The sequence below is a fragment of the Homo sapiens genome, chromosome 2, assembly GCF_000001405.40.
Source record: "Homo sapiens chromosome 2, GRCh38.p14 Primary Assembly".
NCBI classification, from domain to species: Eukaryota; Metazoa; Chordata; class Mammalia; order Primates; family Hominidae; genus Homo; species Homo sapiens.
Window position 1 is genome coordinate 168,523,706 of NC_000002.12, and position 23,059 is coordinate 168,546,764.

Consider the following 23,059-nt stretch of genomic DNA (forward strand, 5'->3'; position numbering starts at 1 on the left):
GGCGTGGAGGTTCAAGAAAATCTTGGAGAAGATATTATTTGTGATATTCACTGACATTTTCAATAGGTGTAGATGGACAGGCAGTGGCCTTTAGACCTCTGCAAAGACTGAAGCCCTGGGTTTGTATAGCAGGTGTCCTAGGAGAGTAATCAGTGGGCATATCGGGAAGTATTTGCAGCCCACACATGCCATGGTGGTTGCTGCAGTGCTGCATTAGACAGCAGTAGATGGATGAAAATATAACTTAGTGTCCTCTTCAGACTTGTCTGTTCTGTGCCAGTTGCAGTGCTGGATGCTCCTGCAAATAGACTTATCTTCTCCAGTAGACATGCTGATGTTTTTCCCCTTCATGTTCAACTCATTCAAGGGCCACCCTGGACTGCATTTAAAGTTGAATGTTGAGTTCGTGTGTGTGTCTGACATCTATTATTTGTAACCTATAGAAGCAGGTAGTGTGTTTTATGCAAAAGGAAGTCTCAAAGGACCTTGAGTCACAGCTCCAACTTTCTTAGTGTGATGTGATAATATCATGCAGTTTAATGAACTGTGGTAGGCTTAGAATGCTCATGACTTACATTAGTTTCATTTTGAATGATGTTTAATAAGCATGCCAAGTTATTTTCCATACAATTAGAGAAGTCATTGAGCTAATTTTGCTATATAGGAAGAAATTAAGGAAAAAGACGTGGTGATTGTGAAAGGAATGGAGCTAAGTCTCAGTCTTCTCTGAAGTCTCTATCCAGATAGCTCAGTGCTGCTCCATGCTGGGTCAAGCTGAAATGAGAATGGAGACTCAGATAGAGACGGAATTGAGACACCCAAGTCACCTTTCAAAAAGGGGCATTTGTGGAAAGAAAATCCGTGTAACGAAATGATAAACAATAATATTATTGTTGCTGTAGCACTCAGGGGGTTGGGATGAGATAAGCCTAGTGAATGATGTGGCTGCTAAAAACTTAGTGTCTGTAGCTCTGATCGTTGGTATTTGACTTCTAGAATGAGACAGATGATCATTTTACTCTTCTTTTAGTAAATACGGGGTTTTATGTATGTGATATGTACTTACACATCTCTCTTTAAAAAGGATTTATTTCACACAGTGACTATGCCATTATAATAGCTAATAAAATTAATTATAGTATATATTAATATATATTTTAACTATATTACTTGTGTATTATATATCTAAACTATATATCTGTGTCTATGTCTGTATCTCTAGCTATGTGGACATTTTTCCTGAAGAAAAAAAGATGCATAATATCATAGCTATTTTTGGATGTTGGAGGATTGTCATGTGGAAGAAAGTTTGTCTTTATTCCTCTTGGTAGGAAAGGCTCAGTTGGCAGAGCTATGGAGAGACATTTAGGTTCAGTTCTAAGGAAGAATTTCCTTAGGGTGGTGCCCACAGGTGCAGTGTGGGCTGCTTTAGAGAATTCCTTCATTCCTTAAGACCAGTCTGTTCAAGTCCAGGCCAAGGCAGTGGTTCTCAAGCTTCAGCATGCCTCGGGATTACCTGGAGGGCTTGTTAAACCCAGGTTGCTAGGCCCCACGCCCAGAGTTGTTGATTTAGTAGGGCTGGGACAGGTCCCCAGAATTTGTATTTTTATCTGCTTCTCAGGTGAGGCTGAGGCTGTTGGTCTGGAGACCACACCTTAAGAAACACTGGACGAAGTACAGCATCTCAAACTGCATTGTGTATGGCAGTTATTTGGGGATTTTTGTTAAAACACAAAATCTGATTTGAGTTGGCCTAGAATTGGGCCTGAGAGTCTGCATTTTTAATATATCTACCAGAAAATACCAATGCTTATGGTTCTTGGGTCACAATTCTTGTAATGGGGTAAATAATCCCTTGTCAGTGATGACGAGGCTTGAGGAAATTTAAACATTCAATGGGCTTTTGGGCCAGAGGGTATTCAAAGTCCTATACAACGGCCCGAGCCCCTGTGAAATGATTTTATTTTGGTAAGTCCCTAATGGGGACAAAGAAAAACTTGACTTTTGCCTTTCAAAAAAATTTTTATGGTAAAATGCCCTTTTCTTACAATTATCACACCATCATTACTAGCATTTTATGACCCTTCTCTGCAGGTCTTTAAATAAGAACTCATTTAAGTCACTCTATGAGCTGTTGCCCCTTAGGAAAATGCCTCATTGATTGAGTCTACCACTGAGCTTTAAATGGAAATGACCTTCATTTTAAAAATTTAATTGAGCTTTGATATTTACTTGCACATTTGGTTATTTCTCATAAATGCTCCTATCAAAGAATTTTGAGAGTTTAATACCATTATGTCCACTCAGTGTGCTTTCTAATGATGCCCCTAGGGTTGTGGCTATTTAAGGATTACAATAAATCAAGAGAATACTAATCTCTTAAAAAATAATGTGGATCTGTATCCATTGTTTGGGTAATGCAAATTTGCATTAAGAAAACAAAATGTCCCCCAAGAGGATATGCATGTTTCCTTATTAAGAGCCAAGTGAATATTTCATTCTGTTTTCTCCTATTTGCTCCTTATGAGTAAGCTGTGTTTTGCCTTTGTTAGCTTCAAAGTTTGCTCTCTAAGGCCTCTTATTTGAGCTTCTCTTTGATTTTAATCCTGTGAGTTTCCATTGCTGTTTAGGTTTTCTGGCATTGAGGGGATATTCTCCTAGAAGCACAAGCAGTTCATAGACCAACTGGAAGTACACGATGAAGAGCTCAAAAAAGAAAAGCTGGTTATTAATAGCTCTTTAACTTATTGATATGTTATTTTTCTCATACAAAGAGAAGAAAACCAGCATTTGCCTGTATATGTGCCAGGCACTTCACACCAGTGTATCATTTAATTCTTTAAACAGCCATATGGTCCAGGTGATATAACTGTATTACAGAAAAACTGACTCAGGGAGGTAAACTAACTTAATATCTCACAGCTAGTAAGTGATCAAATCAGGATTTGAACCTATGACAGCTTGCCTTTAAAGCTGTTTAGCTGCTTTTTATACAATGAGGCTTCTTAATACAAACAGTAAATTGTTTGGAATGCAGATGTTTCCACACCCTGTGCGAGTGGCCTGACAGCAGAAGGTTTTGAATGAGAGAGGGAGAAAATAAATGTCCTGGTCAGTTAGTATCTCTTTAGTTTCTTATCCAGCAGCCTTCAACAAATTCTGTATTAGCCTGTGCTATAAAAAGCAAGTGAAGATAGATGCCCAGTTGGCAGGAGCATCCCCAGATTGAAGCGTTTGAACACGTGAAGAACACTCTGTGCTGGTTATTAAGCCATTATCTCTTGGCTCCAAATCCACCCTTCATATTTTGTTTGTGACACTGGGGCTGAGGCTCTAAAACCATGTTTCTCCTTTGCCGGCTTCTTCCCTATAGTTTCTGTCAACAGAAGGTTCTAGAGGGAGGCTGCTTGGCTGGAAGAGGAAGACTGGACATGCTTATCCTGTTTGCCTCCTTTCCTGAAAGTATCCCCTTAGCATCAGTGGATTTTTCTTCTTTATTTAAAAACAGACTTTATTTTTAAGAGCAGTTTTAGGTTCACATCAAGATTGAATTAGAAAGTACAGAGATTTCCCATATCCCTGTCCCTACACATGCGTAGACTCCTTTGTTATTAACATCTGCCAGCAGAGAGTACATTTGTTGCAGTCGATTAACCTATGTCATATTATTATCACCCAAAGTCCATGGTTTACTTTAGGGTTCCTTCTTGGTGTTGTACATTCTGTGGGTTTATGCAGATTTATAATGCCATGTGTCCTAGTCCATTTTATGCTGCTGTAATAAAATACCTGACACTGGGTAGTTTGCAAAGAATTAAATTTATTTCTCACAGTTCTAGAGGCTGGGAAGTTTAAGATCAGGCAGTGGCGGGTGTGGTGGCTAGTAAGGGCCAAGTCTCTGCTTCCAAGATGGCACCTTGAAGGCTGCATCCTCTGGAGTGGAGGAATGCCGTTCTTCCCATGGCAGAAGAACAGAAGAGCAAGAGGGAGTGAACTCATTTCCTTGAGGGCCCCCCCGCCATCCATTTTTTTGGATTTAGAGTTTGGCGCTATTGCCCAGGCTAGACTTAAGTAGTAGTATCTCAGCTCACTGTACCCTCCACCTCCCAGGCTCAAGCAATCTTCCCACCTCAACCTCCCAAGTAGCTGGGACTACAGGTGTGCACCACCACACCAGGCTAATTTTTGCATTTTTTGTAGAGATGGGATTTTGCCATGTTGCCCAGCCTGGTCTCAAACTCCTGAGCTTGAGTGATCTGCCCACCTAGACCTTCCAAAAATGCTGGGATTGCAGGTGTGAGCCATCATGCCCAGCCTCCATGAGCCCTTTTTACATGACATTAACCCATTCATGAAGGTAGTGCCCTCATGACCTAAACACCTCCCATTAGTCCCCACCTTCCAACACTGTTCCATTGGGGATTGTGTTTTCAATATGTTAATTTTGAGGGACACATTCAAACCATTGCACCATGTATTTACTATTATAGTATTACAGAAGGTAGTTTCACTGCCCTAAAAATTATTTCATCAGCAGCTGTTCTACACCCAGCAGGAGTGTTTTGTTTTCAATGATTGATTCTGGTTTCTTACTTTTCCCCAGCAATCTCTTAAAGCCATCTCTAGTGGGGGGCTGCCCCCTCATCAGGGGTCTGGGTTCTTCCCCAGTCCCTACTCTTCCTCCCAGCCCTAGGGCTGGTGGCTGTTCCTACCTCCTCTGTGACATCTCAGGGTTTCCTTTGTGTCTTTTAGTACTCTAATATCAATTTAACTATTTCTTATTTTAAATTCTGTTAAAATAATTTGTGATTTCTGTTTTCCTGACTAGATCCTGACCAATACTCTTTGGGAGAGTAACCTCTAAGCTACATTGAAGCATGTACTGTGAACAGATATTGCCCAGTGCTGACATAAGGGAGTTAGGCAGAAGTTGTAGAAGAACTAGAGGTTCATAGTTTTATAGCATGAGTCACTGCTGGGATAGCATGTCAAATATGAGGGAAACAAACAGACAAACAAAAAACAGGAGAAAGCAGCCAAATGAGAGAAGCTGTGTGTTCTAGCAACAGCTTTTCTAATAGGTTTGGGAGTACTACTTTCTCTGGACCTCAGTTTCCTCACCTTTAAATCTTAGGTAATAGTGATTGTGAAGTTAAATGAAATTAAGAGAATTGAAAGTACTTGTAAAAAGTATAAGGCCTTGAATTCAAATAAACGATTGTGACAATGAAATAATATTGTAATGCCATCATCAGACTTGATCTCTGTCTATATAAAGGAGTTTGCTGGGACCATAGGGGTTGTTAAGTGATAATAGGGTGAGGGGTTATGGAGACCAAGCCATCATGAGGGCCACTCTGTCATGGCATCCATTGTGCCAGGAGCATGTGCTGTCTCATTCAACTTTACCATTTTATAGTGGACAAACTAGTTTGTTGATGTTGAGAATCAACTTTCTTAATTATTCTCCATTTCTGTCAGTGTGAAGGATTCTACTGTCATTGTCTCATTCTTTCTGTTGTTCTCAGTCATCCTCGATTGTGAAACAGGCACATGGTAAGTAGTGGTGTTAGGCTGTCAGATTCTTCTGGGGGGAGTTTTAGCATACTAAGAGACCATGAGTTTTAATGAAAACCTTTATGGAGTTGGTGACTCTGTTTTTTGAAATTCTATAAAGTCATTCTGTTATCAGTAATCCACCAGAAAAATAAAGGGCCTCATCCTCATTAAACTCTGCATATAACCAAAAGTCTTCTGTGGTAGATCAGGAGTAAAACCAGGTACCGATCATTGATGACCAAATTTTGTGGGTTTTGAGGCACCAATGGATAATCCCTTGTAGTATTAATATCTAGGCCAAAAGGAATGTTCACAGACTCATAAACATGTGTCACCAACTCAACAAAGTCAGAAATGTTAGAGGGCTCAGTCCTTGGAGCAGAATGACAGGAATCTGTATTGGCATTCATCTCTTCAGTTTTTAGTTCAAGTTACTGAAACACCAGAATCTTTTCCTCATTTGTGAAGCAGTGATGATAATATCTATTTGCTTATTCCTCAGGGACATTTTGAGGGTTGACTGAGATCAAATGTGAAAGGACTTGGTGAATTGTAAGGCACCTAGAAAATATAATGGAATTAAAGGATTAATGCATTACAGGAAGGCTTGGAATCCCACCCCCACCCCCAAGACCTGACATTTAGCTTCAGGGGCAATTTGGGGATTTCTGGACAAATCCAGCAGTCACAGGGGCCTATAAGACAGTCTGTGTAGAGGCGCTGAAGGCCTGCTTCTCGCAGCTATGTGTTTCTTGGCTGGTCATCTGAGGAAGATGAATGATAAGGGAGGCCCAGGCCCCCACACAGAGTGAGCTGCTTGAGGGCAGTGACAGGGAACGTGTCTGTAAGAGTGCCGAGGGGTATGGTTAAAGGGAATTTTGAGGCACTTCGGATTTGTGTGACATGTCAAAAGCTGACAGGCTGTGCTGGAAGCAGCAGTTAGAGATGGAGTTGCCAAATCGCATTCAGTGAGGTACAGTGGCATGGCTGACAGCAAAATTCTGTGAGGGTGCAGTTATATCCTTCCATGAGAGGGGCAGACAGTATCATTCTCCATGTGCAGAGAAGATACTGCCTTACTCAGACATTACAGATTCCCAAAAGATTCTTTGACAATTACTGTAATTTTACAAGTACCACAATACTGTGCAAATATTGGCTAACATATAGTGGTAATATCTTAAAGACTTTCTCGACAAGGGTATTTTCGTATATAAATACATACCATGCAATTGTTCTTCTACAATTTGATGTTTTTTTATATCTGGTTTTATGCAGAATACAGGAACATATGTTTCATTGTTTAAGATGAAGACATAATTTGTTTGAATTTTATGAGCTTCATCCTTTAACAGCTAGATTCTGTGTTTCTTTAATAGTTGAAGTGAACTCATAATGAAATATCTTAAGTCTAGGGTACTTTTTCCTAGAATCCTGGGAATGTGTAGCAAGGAGCGGCAGTTTTGACATTTCTCACATTACCTTGGACTTTCCAAGGATCCCAGCTCTTAGGTTTTGAATGTGATGGCCTTTTGGTCTCTGATCTGAAGTGATCAACTCCTCAGATGAGGTTGGTATGGACTAGACTGACTGACCTGTTTATTACTGCTATTTAAGATTAAGCTATGATTTTTAGAAAGTTTCTTGTGAATCGTTTTTAGCTACTACCACAAAAAGCCTTTGCCAATGGTTATTTATTAATAAAAGCAACCACTGTCTAAGGGTCTTTTCCACTTTTAAAAAATAATAAAATGAAGATAGATTCAGAAAACAATCCTTAATTAAAAAAAATTAAAGTTAGAAAAGAAAAAGATGGATGAGGAAAGGTTTATAGGATTCAGGCTGTTTATTCTGGAAGAGAGAAGAATGCAAGATGACTTAATCTGTGTTTTGAAATATTTGAGGAGGTTATAGACTGCACCATCTCTCTAGAGGACTGAGAAAAGAGGAAATGGGTTTACATTTCAGCAAGAAGGAATGACACAGGAAGAACATTTTGAGTATGATGAAAAACTAAAATAGGACACTTAGGGAAGATTAAAAAACAACTTTTTATTTTGAAATAATTATAGATTCACAGGAAATTGCAAAGAAACATACAGGGAGATTTCATGCCTAAAGGAAGTTTTTGAATGCTCTCTCTAGAGAAAAATCTGGCTTGGAGAAAGGCAGTTGGACCAAATGACATAGTAAGCTGGAAGTTTTCTGGCTCTTTCACAAATCTGTGCATCTTATGCTCTTCCCATAACATGTTTCCCATTAAAAGTCACTGACTGTCCGGGTGCGGTGGCTCACGTCTGTAATCCCAGCACTTTGGGAGGCCAAGGCGGGTGGATCACCTGAGCTCAGGAGTTTGAGACCAGCATGACCAACATGGTGAAACCCCGTCTCTACTAAAAATACAAAATTAGCCAGGCGTGGTGGCAGGTGCCTATACTTCCAGTTACTCGGGAGGCTAAGGCAGGAGAGTTGCTTGAACCTGAGAGGTGGAGGTTGCAGTGAGGCAGGATCGCTCCACTGCACTCCAGCCTGGGCAACAGAGCGAGACTCTGTCTCAAAAAAAAAAAAAAAAGGTCAGTGACCACCACAGACGAGGGCACCTTCTGATGTGTGAAAAGTATGTTTCTTGTCATGAAAATTTAAGGAGAACCAGCACTTGCTGAATATTTTCCAAATTTGGGCTCCATTGTGAGAGGTGCTCAGACAAAATTTGCCAGGTAGATTTTATTGTCTTCATTTTGTAAGCATAGTAACTAGGGTTCAGAAATATTAAACTGCTTTCCAACAATCTAGGCTCAGAGTAGGTGCACCTGGGATATGAGTTTGCACCAGAGGAATTGTTCTTTCTACTATATGATGCTACTAGAGAACAATTCATATTTTTCCTAAGAAGAAAATTGTCTTCTTACTGCACACTACTCTGCATGCCATCCTCCCCTATCTCTGTCCCATTCCAGTTGCTCCCAAGGTGCCAGTGATTTAGAAAATCCCAACATGAAACAGAGTGTAATTATGATTTTCGTTATGTAGATGAGAAAATAGAGAAGTTCTGTGGTGTCTCCAGGCCCAGGAAGAAGCAATTTCTTTTCTGGTGGCATCAGAGATTCTCTTAACTATATTTATTTAGTGTTGATAACACTTTTTTTGGAGTAATTTCATCTAGTTGCATAGTTTCATGTCTTTTGGTGTTCTCATTGCCTTGAATGCCATCCTTTTTTTTCTATCTGTACAGGTACTAAAAATGGCCTTTTATTTTTATTCCATTTGTTTTCTCCTTTGTCTCAGTCACAGTGTAGCCCTTTGCTAGAAGAGCCCCGTGGAGTTAGCTAAATTGTAGCTGTCTCAGGGCTTTCCATGTTAGATTTTTGTATCATTGAGGTTTTGAGTCTTACCTGGGATAGAGACCATCTTGTTCATCTCTATTTTTAACAATACTTACTTTTAATTTTTGGCATTAAAAATTTGAACTCTCATTTTAAGATGTTGAAAAATACAGAAAAACATTTTTTAAAGAATATAAAGTAAGCCATAATCCCATTGTTTGGCAACAAATACCGGTAACCTTTTAATATATTTTCAGTTTCTTTTATATGGCAGAAATTTATATGTAAATAAACAGTGACCAGATAGACATTGTTTTCTCTCATTTCTGAGCATTTTTTTATGTTACTAAATATTCATTGAAAGCATTTAAGTTATTTACCTTTAAAATAAATATAAAGTGTATATAAGCACAAATTTAAAGTAGTACAGAAAAGTATGAAATACACATTGTCTTAACCCTAAAAGGTTATTGCCTTTAACAGTTTCTCACTACTCTTCCTGATAACAAATTTTAAAAGTACCTACACAAGTGGAATATTATACTTGTTGTGTATCTTGCATTTTATACTTGTTGTATATCTTGCATTGATTTTCGCATGAATGTTCATCAGGGATATTGGCCTGAAATTTTCTTTTTTTGTTGTGTCTCTGCCAGGTTTTGGTATCAGGATGATGCTGGCCTCATAAAATGAGTTAGGGAGGAGTCCCTCTTTTTCTATTGTTTGGAACAGATTGGAATAGTTTGGAATAGATTGGAATAGTTTGGAATAGTTTGGAATAGACTGGAATAGTTTGGAATAGATTGGAATTGTTTGACGACTTCTTTTCCTATTTGAATACCTTTTATTTCTTTCTCTTGCCTAATTGCCATGGCCAGAACTTCTCATATTATGTTGAATAGGAGTGGTGAGAGAGGGCATCCTTGTCTTGTGCCCAAAGGGAATGCTTCCAGCTTTTGCCCATTCGGTATGATGAGTTTCTGCTGAAAGATCTGCTGTTAGTGTGGTGAGCTTCCCTTTATATGTGACCTGGCCTTTCTCCCTGGCTGCCCTTAACATTTTTTCCTTCATTTTGACCTTGGAGAATCTGACAATTATGTGTCTCAGGGTTGATCTTCTCGTGGAGTATCTTAGTGGTGTTCTCTGTATTTCCTGAATTTGCATGTTGGTCTGTCTTGCTAGGTTGGGGAAGTTATCCTGGGTAATATCCAGAAGTGTGTTTTCCAGCTTGTTTCCATTCTCCCCATGTCCTTCAGGTAGGTACTCCAGTCAATCATTGGTTCGGTCTTTTTACGAGATCCCATATTTCTTGGAGGCTTTGTTATTCCTTTTCATTCTTTATTCTCTAGTCTTGTCTGCATGCCTTATTTCAGTAGGGCGGTCTTCAAACTCTGATATGCTTTCTTCCGCTTGGTTGATTTGGCTATTGATAGTTGTGTATGCTTCACGAAGTTCTCGTGCTGTGTTTTTCAGCTCCATCAGGTCATTTATGTTCCTCTCTAAACTGGTTATTCTAGTTAGCAGCTCCTGTCACCTTTTATCAAGGTTCTTAGTTTCTTTGCATTGGGTTAGAACATGCTCCTTCAGCTCAGTGTAGTTTTTTATTACCCGTCTTCTGAAGCCTACTTCTGTCAGTTTGTCCATCTCATCCTCCGTCTAGTTCTGCACCCTTGCTGGGGCGACGTTGCGATCATTTGGAGAAGAGTCATTCAGGCTTTTTGGGTTTTCAGTGTTTTTTCCTTGATTCTTTTTCATCTTCGTGAGTTTGTCTAGTTTCGATCTTTGAACCTGCTAACCCTTGGATGCGGTTTTTGTGGGGCTTTTTTTTTTTTTTAATTGTTGATGCTGTTGTCGTTGCTTTCTGTTTGTTTTTCTTTCAATGGTCAGGTCCATTTTCTGCAGGGCTGCTGCAGTTCCCTGGGGGTTCATTTCAGGCCCTATTCATCTGGCTCGCTCCCGCGTCGGGAGATGTCACTCAAGGAGGCTGGAGAACAGCAAGGATGGGTGCCTGCTCCTTCTTCTGGTATCTCTGACTTCGAGGGGCACCAACCTCAAGCCAGTAGGATCACTCCTGTATAGGGTTCCTGACAACCCCTGTTGGACGGTCTCACCCTGTTGGGTGGCATGGGGAACAACAGGACCCGTTTAACAAAGCACTTTGTCCCTTGGTGGAAGGGGTGTGCCTCACTGTGGGGAAACACAGTCATCTGGGCTGCCCAGATTCCTCAGAACTACCAGGAGGAAAGGCTAAGTCTGCTGGTCCGCAGAGACTGCGGCCACCCCTCCCACTAGGAGATTAGGTCCAAGGAGATCCGTATTCTGTCCCTGAGCCTCTGGCTGGAGTTATTGGAGTTCCTGCAGGGAAGCCCCACCCAGTGAGGATCAGGCCTGAGGAGGCACTCTGGCTGCAGTCTGCCACAGCCGGTGTGTTGGGCTGTCGGGGACACGTCTTGGGACCAAGCCGTCCAGCCTCCCTGGCTCCAGCAGGGGAAAAGCATGGCCTGGAGCTATAGTGATAGATGCTGCCTTTCTCCTGCCCAGGGAGCTTAGCATGTTAAGCAGTGTGAGTCCCAGTGCTGGCTGCTGCCCCTCCCTTAAGGAGCTCATATGGCTTAGACAGCAGGCAGCCGCAGCTGTGGTGCTGGTCACCCTTCCCCCTGGGAGCTCAGTAGTCTTAAGCAGATTCCAGCTGAAGGGCTATTGAGAATCCGTGTGGCTCTGGAGTTGGGACGCTAGGCCCCGGTGGAATGCGTTCACGAGTGGGATCTTCTGATCCATGGGTTGCACCATTCCGTGGAAAAGGCACGGATTCCCTGGCTGGGTAGCATGTTCACTTACTGCTTCCCTTGGTTGGGGGGAGAGGGTTCTCCTGGCTCTCAGGTGGGCCGCCATACCACACTGCGCTTCCTTCCTCTCCGTGGATCATGCCAGCCTCCTAGTGAGTTCTGATGAGAGAACGTGGATACCTTGGTTGCCAGTGAAGGATTCACACGCTTACTATGGTTCTTTTTGATTGGAGCCTCAGATCGCCACTGTTTATAGTCGGCCATCTTGGCCCTGCCCAACAATGTTTTGATACCAGTTTTTTTTTTTTTTTTTTTGAATGAGGATGACCATCTTTTCATATGTCTATTGGTCATTTGTTACTTATTTCTGTATACTACCTTTTTATATCTCGTGTGCATTTTTAATTAAACTTCGACATGAGAAATTTATTGGTATTCTTATTTTTCCAAATCATTGGCTATATTTCACATTATAAAACTCAGCCTGATGGGCATGAAATGGTCTTGGTACATTTTCCTGATGTGGCTGAATATCTTGTTGTATGTTTATTGATGTTTCCATTTGTTCTTTTGAAAATTGCCTACTTAACGTCTTTTGCCCATTTTTCTGTTGATCATCAAAAATCTTTAAAAATGTGAAAATCTAGGATGTAGAAGAGTCTGGAAATTTTCATCTTCAAAACTTTATGGTTAATTTCTTGAAGCTTTAGCTAGCAAAAGTGATCCTAAATTCAAGTGGCAGAGATAATGCAGATGCAAGAATGGATAGTTATCCTATGATGACAGAGTATTTTAGTGGTCAACCTAAATAATTCAATTCTTCAGATTCACTTTTGCTTATATCGTTGATATCATAACAACATGGTGGGACTTTGATCAGAGTTCTGTACTGTCAGAAAGGGCCCAGTGGCTATTTTCTTAGAGAATAGTCCCAGTAGCAAGAAATAAGAACAACAATATAATATGAACACACGTAGAGATCTAATGTACATGAGGCCTGAGTTAACAACATTGTATTGTTTTGGAGATTTTTTAATAAAATAAATAAACCTATTTATTTTAAATAAGTAGATTCTAGCTGCTTTTGTCACACACACAGTGAGATGATAGATATATTAATCTGCTTCACTATAGTAGCCATTTTACTATATATGTATCCTATAACATGTTGCACACCTCAAATATACACAACAAAATTTATAAAACAAAAAAAGAACAACAGTGTAAGTCTTTGTAACCATTAAATACCATGCCCTACCAGGATATGTAATTTTCTGTGGGAAATATTCACAGTAGGAAAGTAAAGCAAATTATAAATATATGTAGTATGATGTAATTTTGTTTAATAAAAACATGGTAAGCAAAGTATAAAGAAAGATCTGGTAGCATGTGGGGGAGGGATAGCAGAAAAATGTTCAAATGTTAATAATGGTTATCTTTGATAGCATTCCTTGCGATTTTTAATATTATTACAAGTGCTTTTTGTTACTTTCTACACTTGATGTAATATACACTGCTTTTAAAATTCACAAAAATTACAAAAATGAAGATAGTAGAATTTTGATGGGCAATAAACATTTCTTGAGTTCTTGGAGAACATGGACTATTGTGTTATTTGTAAATGCCTTTGCTTTGTCCATAGTTCTCTTTCACCACAAGATTAATTATACCTTTATAAGCTGTGCCACCTTTTTTCCACATGGGCTTTGTTATTACTCAACAACAAAGGAAACACAAAATAAATATAAATACATGTAGTATGATGCAATTTTGTTTAATAAAAACATGGTAAGCAAAGTATAAAGAAAGAGCAAAGTGTAAAGCAAAGTATAAAGAGCAGGGCTGATACATAATAGATGCTCACTGAGTCATTTTGTAGTGACTCATTAAGCTATTTACCATTTTCCCTCTGCAGATAATTGTGCGTGAAAATCTTTACATCTGTGGCCTTTCTTCTTTGTCTGACTGATTGTGTTAGATAAATACCTCAAAGTGAGATTTCTGAGCAGAGTGTATGACCATATCACAAATATTTTAACAATGCCTCTTTAATTTACTTTTCTTATTTTAGGGAGAGTGGCTAATTTCCTCCGGTACAGCAAGTGTTGTTTTTCAGATTTTATTCTACCACATACTTTATTTTACAGTTTTTATAAAATAGCCTGCTTTAAAAAAATCAATGTATTATAGATTTTCATGTTTTGCATATTTTATGTAAATATCCTTTTCAGTAGCTATATAATATTTCAGGGGTTTCTTTGTACTCAGACATTAAACATTGGAGTCACCTTAGGGTTTATTTCTTGAATCTCCTCCCGTATTTATTTATACTCACTTCCCAGGTGATTTCCTTGTTCTTATGGGCTTTATATGTCATCTATATGTTGATGAAAATAAATTTCTATCCCTTGCCCAAGCCTAAACTTCATACTAGCATATCCAACTGCCTACTGGACATCTCCATTTATAAGCCTAGTAGCCTAATAAGCATAACCTCAGACTTACCAGGCCTCACACTGAAGTCATGAACTTCAGCCCAACCCCCATGCCAGGGCAAAACCTTGTTGTTACCTCTTATTCCTCTCTTGCCTCATCCCATCCATGTTCAGTCTGTCAGTGGATCCTGTGAGTCCAGTCTTGAGGATAGTTCCAGGATCTGATCACTTCTCACTGCCTCTTTTGCTGCCACCACCTCTGGCCTGGATAATTGCAGCAGCCTCCCAGTTAGCCTTGCTGTGTCCATCCTTGTTTTCCCCTTCTGTCTGCTCTCAACAGAGGAGCTAGTGATTCTCTTAGGACAGAATAAATCATTTAGGTTTTCTTCACATGGTCCTGAAGAAGCTTCCTACCTCACTCAGTGTAAAAACCAAAAAAAAAAAAAAAAAAGTCCCTAAAATGGCCTAGAAGGCACTGTGTGTGGCTGCCTGCTGCTCTCTGACCCCACTTCATTCCTCCTGTACTGGCTAACTCTATACTAGCCTCTCTAGCCTTCTGGATATGCCTTCAGCATCTCAATCAGACTCCTTCTCAGAGCCTTCATTCTTGGCCGCTGTTCCTTCCAGAATGTCCTTCCCCCACTTATCTTTCTAGTTTCTTTCCTTACTTCCTTCAGGGTTCTGTGTACTTTCTCATTGGGGTCTTCCCTGGCCAATCTGTTTTAAATGACAGCCCTACCTAGGTAGCCCTGTCCTTCTTAGCAGGCTGTATTTTTCTCTCTAGCACTTCTCACCATCTGGCATAGCATACACTGCTTGGTTTATTTTTAATCTCCCTCTGCTAGAATGTAAGCTCCATAAAAATGGGATTTTGTTCACTGCAGCATCCCCAACACCTAGAGCAGGGCTGATACATAATAGATGCTCACTGAGTCATTTTGTAGTGACTCATTAAGCTATTTGCCATTTTCCCTCTGCAGATAATTGTGCGTGAAAATCTTTACATCTGTGGCCTTTCTTCTTTGTCTGACAGATTGTCTTAGATAAATACCTAAAAGTGGGATTACTGAGCAGAGTGTATGACCGTATCACAAGTATTTTAACAATACCTCTTTAATTTACTTTTCTTATTTTAGGGAGTGTGGAAAATATTGTTTTTTTTTTTTTTTTTTTTTGAGACGGAGTCTCGCTCTGTCGCCCAGGCTGGAGTGCAGTGGCGGGATCTCGGCTCACTGCAAGCTCCGCCTCCCGGGTTCACGCCATTCTCCTGCCTCAGCCTCCCAAGTAGCTGGGACTACAGGCGCCCGCCACTACGCCCGGCTAATTTTTTGTATTTTTAGTAGAGACGGGGTCTCACCGTTTTAGCCGGGATGGTCTCGATCTCCTGACCTCGTGATCCGCCCGCCTCGGCCTCCCAAAGTGCTGGGATTACAGGCGTGAGCCACCGCGCCCGGCCGAAAATATTGTTTTTATTAATAGATTATGTTATGATTGATCGGATCTAAATTTTGTCTAAGCTATTTAACTACCTTTAAGACCTTGGGCACCCTCATTAACTTCTTTGAGCTTTAGTTTATATTTCTGTTAAATGAAATAAATATTTAATTGAAAGGGTTATTGTTGATCTAAAAAAGAATTAAACATTGCAAAGCTTTTGGCATATAGTATCTGTCAATAAATAGCAGTCCCCTTTCTCCATCCTGGCCTTCATTCCACTAAATATTTGTTTTCTTGAAACAGTTTTGTCTTAGGTAGGATTTAACAATATACAGTCATGCACATATGCCTGCTCACTCAGGCACATGCACATGTATATGTCTAAACATGCACCTGCATATTAGCTTTCAAAATCAGTCTATATTGTTCTGGTCAGTTTTAAATTGATAATACTTACTCTGATGCTAGCCACGGCACACCATTCCTGACGAATATTGGTAACCAAGGACGTGTTAGTAGTTCAGCAATGCGTTGACTCAGTTACCTCTCCCCACTTCTCCTTTATTGAATTTTTACTTATGCATAGGTTTTTTTCTGGCACAGTTTGGTGTGGGAATATGTTATTTCTCATAATTGGATTTAACTGTTTCATCTGTTATTAATTGGTTGTGATTAATTTCAAAGACCTTGCAAGCACTTTTGTATTTACCAATATATTTGTCATTTCTGATGCTCTATTCATTTGTAAAGATCTAAGTTTCCATCTGGTTGTGTTGCCTTTCAACCTAAAGAAGAACTTCCTTTAGCATATTTGAAATGGGAATCTGGAGGCCACAAATACCCTTAGTTTCCTTTTCACTTTCATTCTTTGAAGGATATTTTGCTGAACATAGAATTTTTGGCTGACAGTTTTTTTTTTTTCCGCTTCCAGTATAGTCATGAGCTGCATAACATTTCAGTTAATTATGGGGGGTGGAGGGTTGGAGGGGACTCTACATATACAATAGTGGTCCTATAAGATTATGATTACTGTACCTTTTCTATGTTTATTTATTTGTGAAGGAAATAGGTTTAATTGACTCACAGTTCTGCATTGCTGGGGAGGCCTCAGGAAACTTACAATCATGACTGAAGGCAAAGAAGAAGCAGGCACCTTCTTCACAAGACAGCAGGACAGATGGAGTCCTTTTCTATGTTTAGATACACAAGTACCATTCTGTTTTAATTGCCTATTCACTACAATAATGGTAATGTCCTGTACAGGTTTGTAGCCTTGGAGCAATAGGCAATACCATATATCTTAGGCGTGTAGTAGGCCATACCATCTAGGTTTGTGTAAGGACACTGTGATACTCATACAAAGACAAAACCACCTAATCATGTGATTCTCAGAATGTATCCCTATTGTTAAGTGATGCATAACTGTACTTTAAAGATGTTATTGCACTGTCGTTGAGCCTTCATAATTTCTGATGAGAAGAGCATTGTATTTCAAATTATTTTTCCCTGTATATAGTGAGCCGTTTTGTCTGGTGAATTACAATATTTTCTTTTTATCTTTGGTTTTCATCTGTTTGACTGTATTTTGTGTAGGTTTTCTTCTTTTACAGTTTACTTCTCTGTAGGGTTCTTGAGCTCCTTGAATCTGTATGTCTTAGCCTGTTTTGTGTTGCTCCAAAGGAATATCTGATGGGGCTGGGCAGTTTATAAAGAACATGTTTATTTAGCACATGATTCTGATGACTGAAAAGTTCAAGATTAGGCATCTGTATCTGGTGAGGGCCTCAGGCTGCTTCCACTCATGATGGAAGGTGAAGGGGAGCTGGCATGTGCAGAGATCACATGGCAAGAGAGGCAGGGAGAGGTGCCAGGTTCTTTTAATAAACCAGCTCTTGTGGAAACTCATAGAGCTAGAGCTCACCCACCCCTGAGGGACAGCGTCAATCCATTTATGAGGGATCTGCCTCCATGACCCGAACACCTTCCAGAAGGCCCCACCTTTCACATTGGGGATCAAGTTTCAACATGAGGTTTGGTGGGCACAGAACGCCCAGACTATAACAGTATGTTTATGTCTTTTACCAGATTTTGGAAGTTACAGACTATTATTTCTTCTAATATTGTTCCCCCTAGTTTGTCTCCTTTTTCCCTGTGACTCTAATTACCCACATGTTAGATTTTGAACAATTGTTCTACAAGTCTTCAAAGTCTGTTTATTTCTCCATTTTTTCTTTCTTTTTTTTTTTCAGATTGCATGGTTCAGGTTCACTGAATTTTTCCTTTGCATGTCTTTTCTCCTTAGAGTGGGTCATATTTTACTTGTTCTTCATCAACCTATTAGATTATGTATCCTGGGCATGGTGAGAGTTATTTTGTGGAGATGGTGGATTTTTTTACATTGCTTTCAAAAATGTTGATGTTTTGTTAATAGGCAGTTTACTTAGACTCAAATTGTAGCCTGTCATGCTTGCAGTGGACAGTGGCTTTAGTCTCAGATAAATTCTTTAAACCTTAGCTCCTATCTGCATTCAGTTTACCTTGTACATTCATGGTTCAGAAGTCAGCTAGAATCATGCTTAGTTTATATACAGAATTAGGGTTTGCTTCTTTGGCATTGTCTCTTCTATAGTTCTCTAGTCATTCTCTGATTTCCCCAGGCTTTTTTCCCTGGTTCCTGCAGCTAGAAAGAGGATGTGTTTTTCTATCAAAATTTTGCTTGCTGCTGTGTCTGTGTCTGATCTCAGGGTAGAGCTGCAGAATAAATATATAAATGAACAGAGAGGTCACTCTTTACTGGTTGCTTGCTCCAACTTGGACACTTCCCCAAAGTCAGTTTCCTTTTTTTCAGTCTCCAGAGCCCTCAGGTAGTGTTTGTTTGTTTTTGTTTGGGTGGAGAGAGTGTGGTGTTCATATGTTGTGAAATCCATTAGCTCATTCCTACACGACAAAAAGAGAATGTCCCTTTCAATTATTTTTAATTGAAATCCTTATTGAGACAGTTGTGGATTCAAATACAGTTCTAAGAAATAGTACAATGAGATCTCATGTACTCTTTACCCAGTTACCTATAATGGTAACATTTTATAAATTTCTAGTATGGTATCAGAACCAGGCTTTTGACATTGATACAATCTTCCGATCTTAATCAGATTTCCCCAGTTTTGTTAATACTTGTACTCATTTATATATGTGTGAGATTTAATTCTATACAATTTTATCACATGTGTAGGTTTGTGTAGCCACCATCACAGCATCCCAACTATTTTTGGAAAGCATAGGAAGTGTTACAGTTTGAAAGGACTGAAAGCCTCTGGCCATGCTACCCACTTGAGATGATTAAATATTTTAAAGTAGTTAGAACAATGACATATGTTTATTTTTTTTAATAACCACCTTTCCAGATTGTAAACTTCATTGAGTACAAGGTTCATTTCATGGTTTTCTTTTTTTTGGGGGGTGTTATTTTTTTTGGAGATGGAGTTGTGCTGTTGCCAAGGCTGGAGTGCAGTGGCACAATATTGGCCCACTGCAGCCTCTGCCTCCCGGGTTCAAGCGATTCTCCTGCCTCAGCTTCCAGAGTAGCTGGGATTACAGGCGTGCACCACCACACCTGGCTAATTTTGGTATTTTTAGTAGAGATGGGGTTTCACCATGTTGGCCAGGCTGGTCTTGAACTCCTGGCCTCATGTGATCTGCCTGCCTTAGCCTCCCAACACGCTGGGATTACAGGCGTGAGCCACTGTATCTGGCCCATTTTACGTTTTGACTATATCTCTCACCACACTACTGCCCAGTGCTTTCTTCCGTACTTTGTGCAGAGATGTTTACCTCATGTTTAAAATACAAATACGTGTTGCCAAATAGAATTGAAAAGTAGCAGTGTCTTAGGTTTCTTCTCTGCTTTTTAACTGAGACTAGTATTTTTCAAAGTTTACATCCTTATTATGTTTACTTTCAAATATAGTACATGAAAGTACTTTATAGATGTTTGATCTTTTGAAGGTGGTGTTGCCGCCTTTGATTAAAAAAGTAATTAGGTGAGCATTTCCTTATAGAGGTAACCATCAAAGCTTGAAAGCACATATTTCCTTTCAACTATTACATTTGTCGATGTGTTACCCCCATCCCCCATCAATCTGCTTCTATCTCTGACTCTATCTCTTTCTCTCAAAATGTTATGAAAGACAGCCTTTGTGAACTTATTTATGTTAGAACTGGCATTAAAAAAAAATCCAGTTTTTTACATGGTCTAATGGACCATGATAGTCAGTGATAAAATTATAGTAGTTGTGTCATGGATCTTATTTTGTATCTAAATATGCTCTCTGAAAAAAATGTGATTCACGCCTTTTTTTGGAGAATAAACACAAAATTTATATTTTCATATAATCAGTAATACCTATTTGATAAGAATTACATGCTCTTGTTTTTTCTTCTTTCATTTGGGGTTCACTTTTTCTGCCTATCTTATGCAATTTTAAAAAAATCTTGAAAATTAAGTGTTTGGCTCCCAGTATGGGTTATGTTGAAAAAGAGCATACCTAGTGAGGGGTTGGTAAAGCCTACGCAAGTGCTCTTTCAGGCAACTTTGACATTCTAGGGACAATAAGTATTAAAGAAGTGGCTTCTTGAGTTGGAGTGGTCAGTCTCCTACCTTCTGGGTCCCAAATGACCCTGAGTAGATGTGGATATTCAAGGAAATTAAAATGCAAAGCCCCTTTGGAAAAGATAGTAAGGGTACCTACCATTGTATTTTACTTGATGGTTTTATTCATTCATTCAACCATCAAATACTCACTGAGTACCCACAGTGTGCCAGGCATATAAATGAAAAGATGCTATGACATCGTTCAAAGAAAGATGATTTATGCACATACCTACCATGGGTCATTTAAACTTTAATGGACTTCAACATTTAAATTGAGTTAAATTCTATTAAGTTTGTCTGTTATTCTTCTCTCTCTCTCTCTCACTGTCTGTCTCTGCATCCTCAGATTTTGGGGCTTAGCCTGTCCAATGAATCAGAGTGGGGAGCTGATTATAACAATGACCCTTCTGGGAAAGAAATATACTGTCTTCTGCTTCCATTTCCCTGGAAGTAGAGGCCACTGACATCTCTGGTCCTCTCTGCAAAGTGGGGATAATGGTAATCCCGCTTCATCTGGTTGAGGGAGGATTAAATGAGATTGTGCACAGGGCTCTGGAGATGTGGACTTCGTTAAGGCCTGGTCCTGCTCTCTTGGGGGCCCCACACACAGGAGAGGGATGCACCTGTTACACCAACTCTTCTGTGGGAAGTGTGGCCACAGCATTCTGGGGGTCATTGGGTTGGATAGGGGAGCTGGAAAGGTTTGGGCCCTTAGAGAAGGCCAGGTGTGGATGAGCTTAGACCCCGATCACACTGCTGGTATGGACTCACTGTGGACCGGCACCAGGCCTGGGGTTTGAGGATGAGAGTCACCACAATTTTATGTCCACATGGGACCCTCTGCTTTTCCTTTTAACTGTGGCAAAATACCAGACGGGGGACACTTTTGTCAGTGCACGTGGTGCTGGGAACAGTTGGATGGAGGGTAAACTGGGGCAAGTGGTTACTCGACCAGATGTCCCTGGTTTTTTTCAGTGCCTATCCTGACATCTGGTCTCTTTTTTCTGCTTCTGCTTGGTATAATACTTTCACAACTTGAATACACATGGCTTGTTTCAGTGTAGCTGAGGCTGGTGAGCCGCTGGGCCCAGGAAAGTCATGGTTTGTAAATGCTATGATATGAAACCTTACCCATGGCTCCTGTCAAACATTTTAGGCAAAGAGACTCTATGATATGATTTTTAAATACATACATGTATTTGTAGAAACACATACATGTATTTGTAGAAACACACACATGTATTTGTAGAAACACATACATGTATTTGTAGAAACACATACATGTACATATATAATTATAATAATTTTTTCACATATGAGGAGATTAAGGCAGAGAGAGATTAATTCCTGTAGCTAAATCTCCATAGCCAGATAGCAGCAGAAATAATTCCCACCCTATCCTTTGGACATTGCTGTAAAAATATGTTAACAAAGCATCATATTTATTTGATAATTTTGATTATTGAAATTTGATAAGTTGTCAATTAAGTGGTATGCTGTTGCATTCATTCTTGGAATTTAAAGAAAATAGAGTTTTAAAAGTGGTTTGAAGCTTAAAAAGAGAAGGAGAGATGTATACATTATGTTGTATAACAAATACTAAAAATTTTTTTTGATTTTTTTTTTTTTGGCTGATAACAGAGGTGAGGAAGTTGAAGAGACAGTGTTGAGTAAATTTCTTGACTCCCCTACTGCCTGCCCATGCATTGTGACAGGGCACACAGAGAATGTCTGCTAACTTGTCCTCAGCACTCAACACCGTGATAGCAACAACAAAACATATTTACTGAAGACAACCAGTTGATTAAATGTCTTGACCCCCTCCTGTGTATGCACAGGCATTGTCACAGGGCATACAAAGAGGAAATGATCAGCTTCTGCATTGAGACTCAGTGCTATTTAGATGAAGAAAGAAGACTGTACTGGAACAGCAGGCTGTTACAAGGATGATGATGACAAAGTCGGAAGGGAATGTGAACACAATGTGTCAGAGGTGTGGGAAGGGGAGGATGAGGGAGGGCGGGGAGGAGTCCAACTGGAAAGACTAGAAAGAAACCATTGGAACAGTTGTGTCCTTCACACCAAATGCATTTTGTGGTCTTACTGTTTGCTTTTGCTGGACCGTATGTCTTTTCACCCCGCTCTGTTGTACCTTATGATGAGGGGCAAATAACCACAAAGCAGGAAACCTTGTCAAGGAAACAAGTTCTAGACTCTGTCTTGTGGTCATTGCCCACTAAATTCCTTCTTTCATCACTATAGCCATAGCCCCATGATTATCATTTATAGAGAAGGGCCAGAGTCGTTAGGAAAAGGTTATACTTACTGTCAAGAAGGTAGGGATGTAGGTAATGCAGCTCAGAAAATTTTACATTAAACAGAATTGAGAATGTAGAAGTTTGGGGAAAACTCCAGTTTCTAGAGGATTTATATATCGGGAAGGGGTGATTCTTCTTTCTTCCCAACTTTGTCCCAGAGAGCCCAGTGTACCAGGTATTACGGTGCATTTTCTCTGTCTTATCTTTCCTGGTTTAGGCTTGCACGTGTACAATGTTCCATTTTCCTGTTTAAATAAATTTCTTCACTTTTACTTGAAATAGGACCCAGTAGGATATTATGTGGTACTTTACATGTAAGTTTCATTGGTCCTACTTTAAAAACAAAAACCTTTGTCTACTGTTCTTTAATCTCATCAACTGTTATTAAGGAAGCTTCATCTAAGATTTAATTATGGTCTGTTTTGCATATTTATCAATTGTTGCCTTTGACCAACAGTGAATTAATTTGGGTAATACTTTCACATGATATGAAATTATCCTGTATTAGTAGAAAATATTAAATGTTACTACTGAAAATGAATATTTACAGAGT

The 23,059-nt window shown here is 39.6% G+C and overlaps 1 protein-coding gene across 2 annotated transcripts in view; it reads left to right on the top strand.

Moving 5' to 3' along the window:
- Nucleotides 1–23,059, top strand: part of CERS6 (ceramide synthase 6) — a 318,863-nt gene that overhangs the window by 67,434 nt on the left and 228,370 nt on the right. The gene's annotated exons all lie outside the window — the stretch shown is intronic.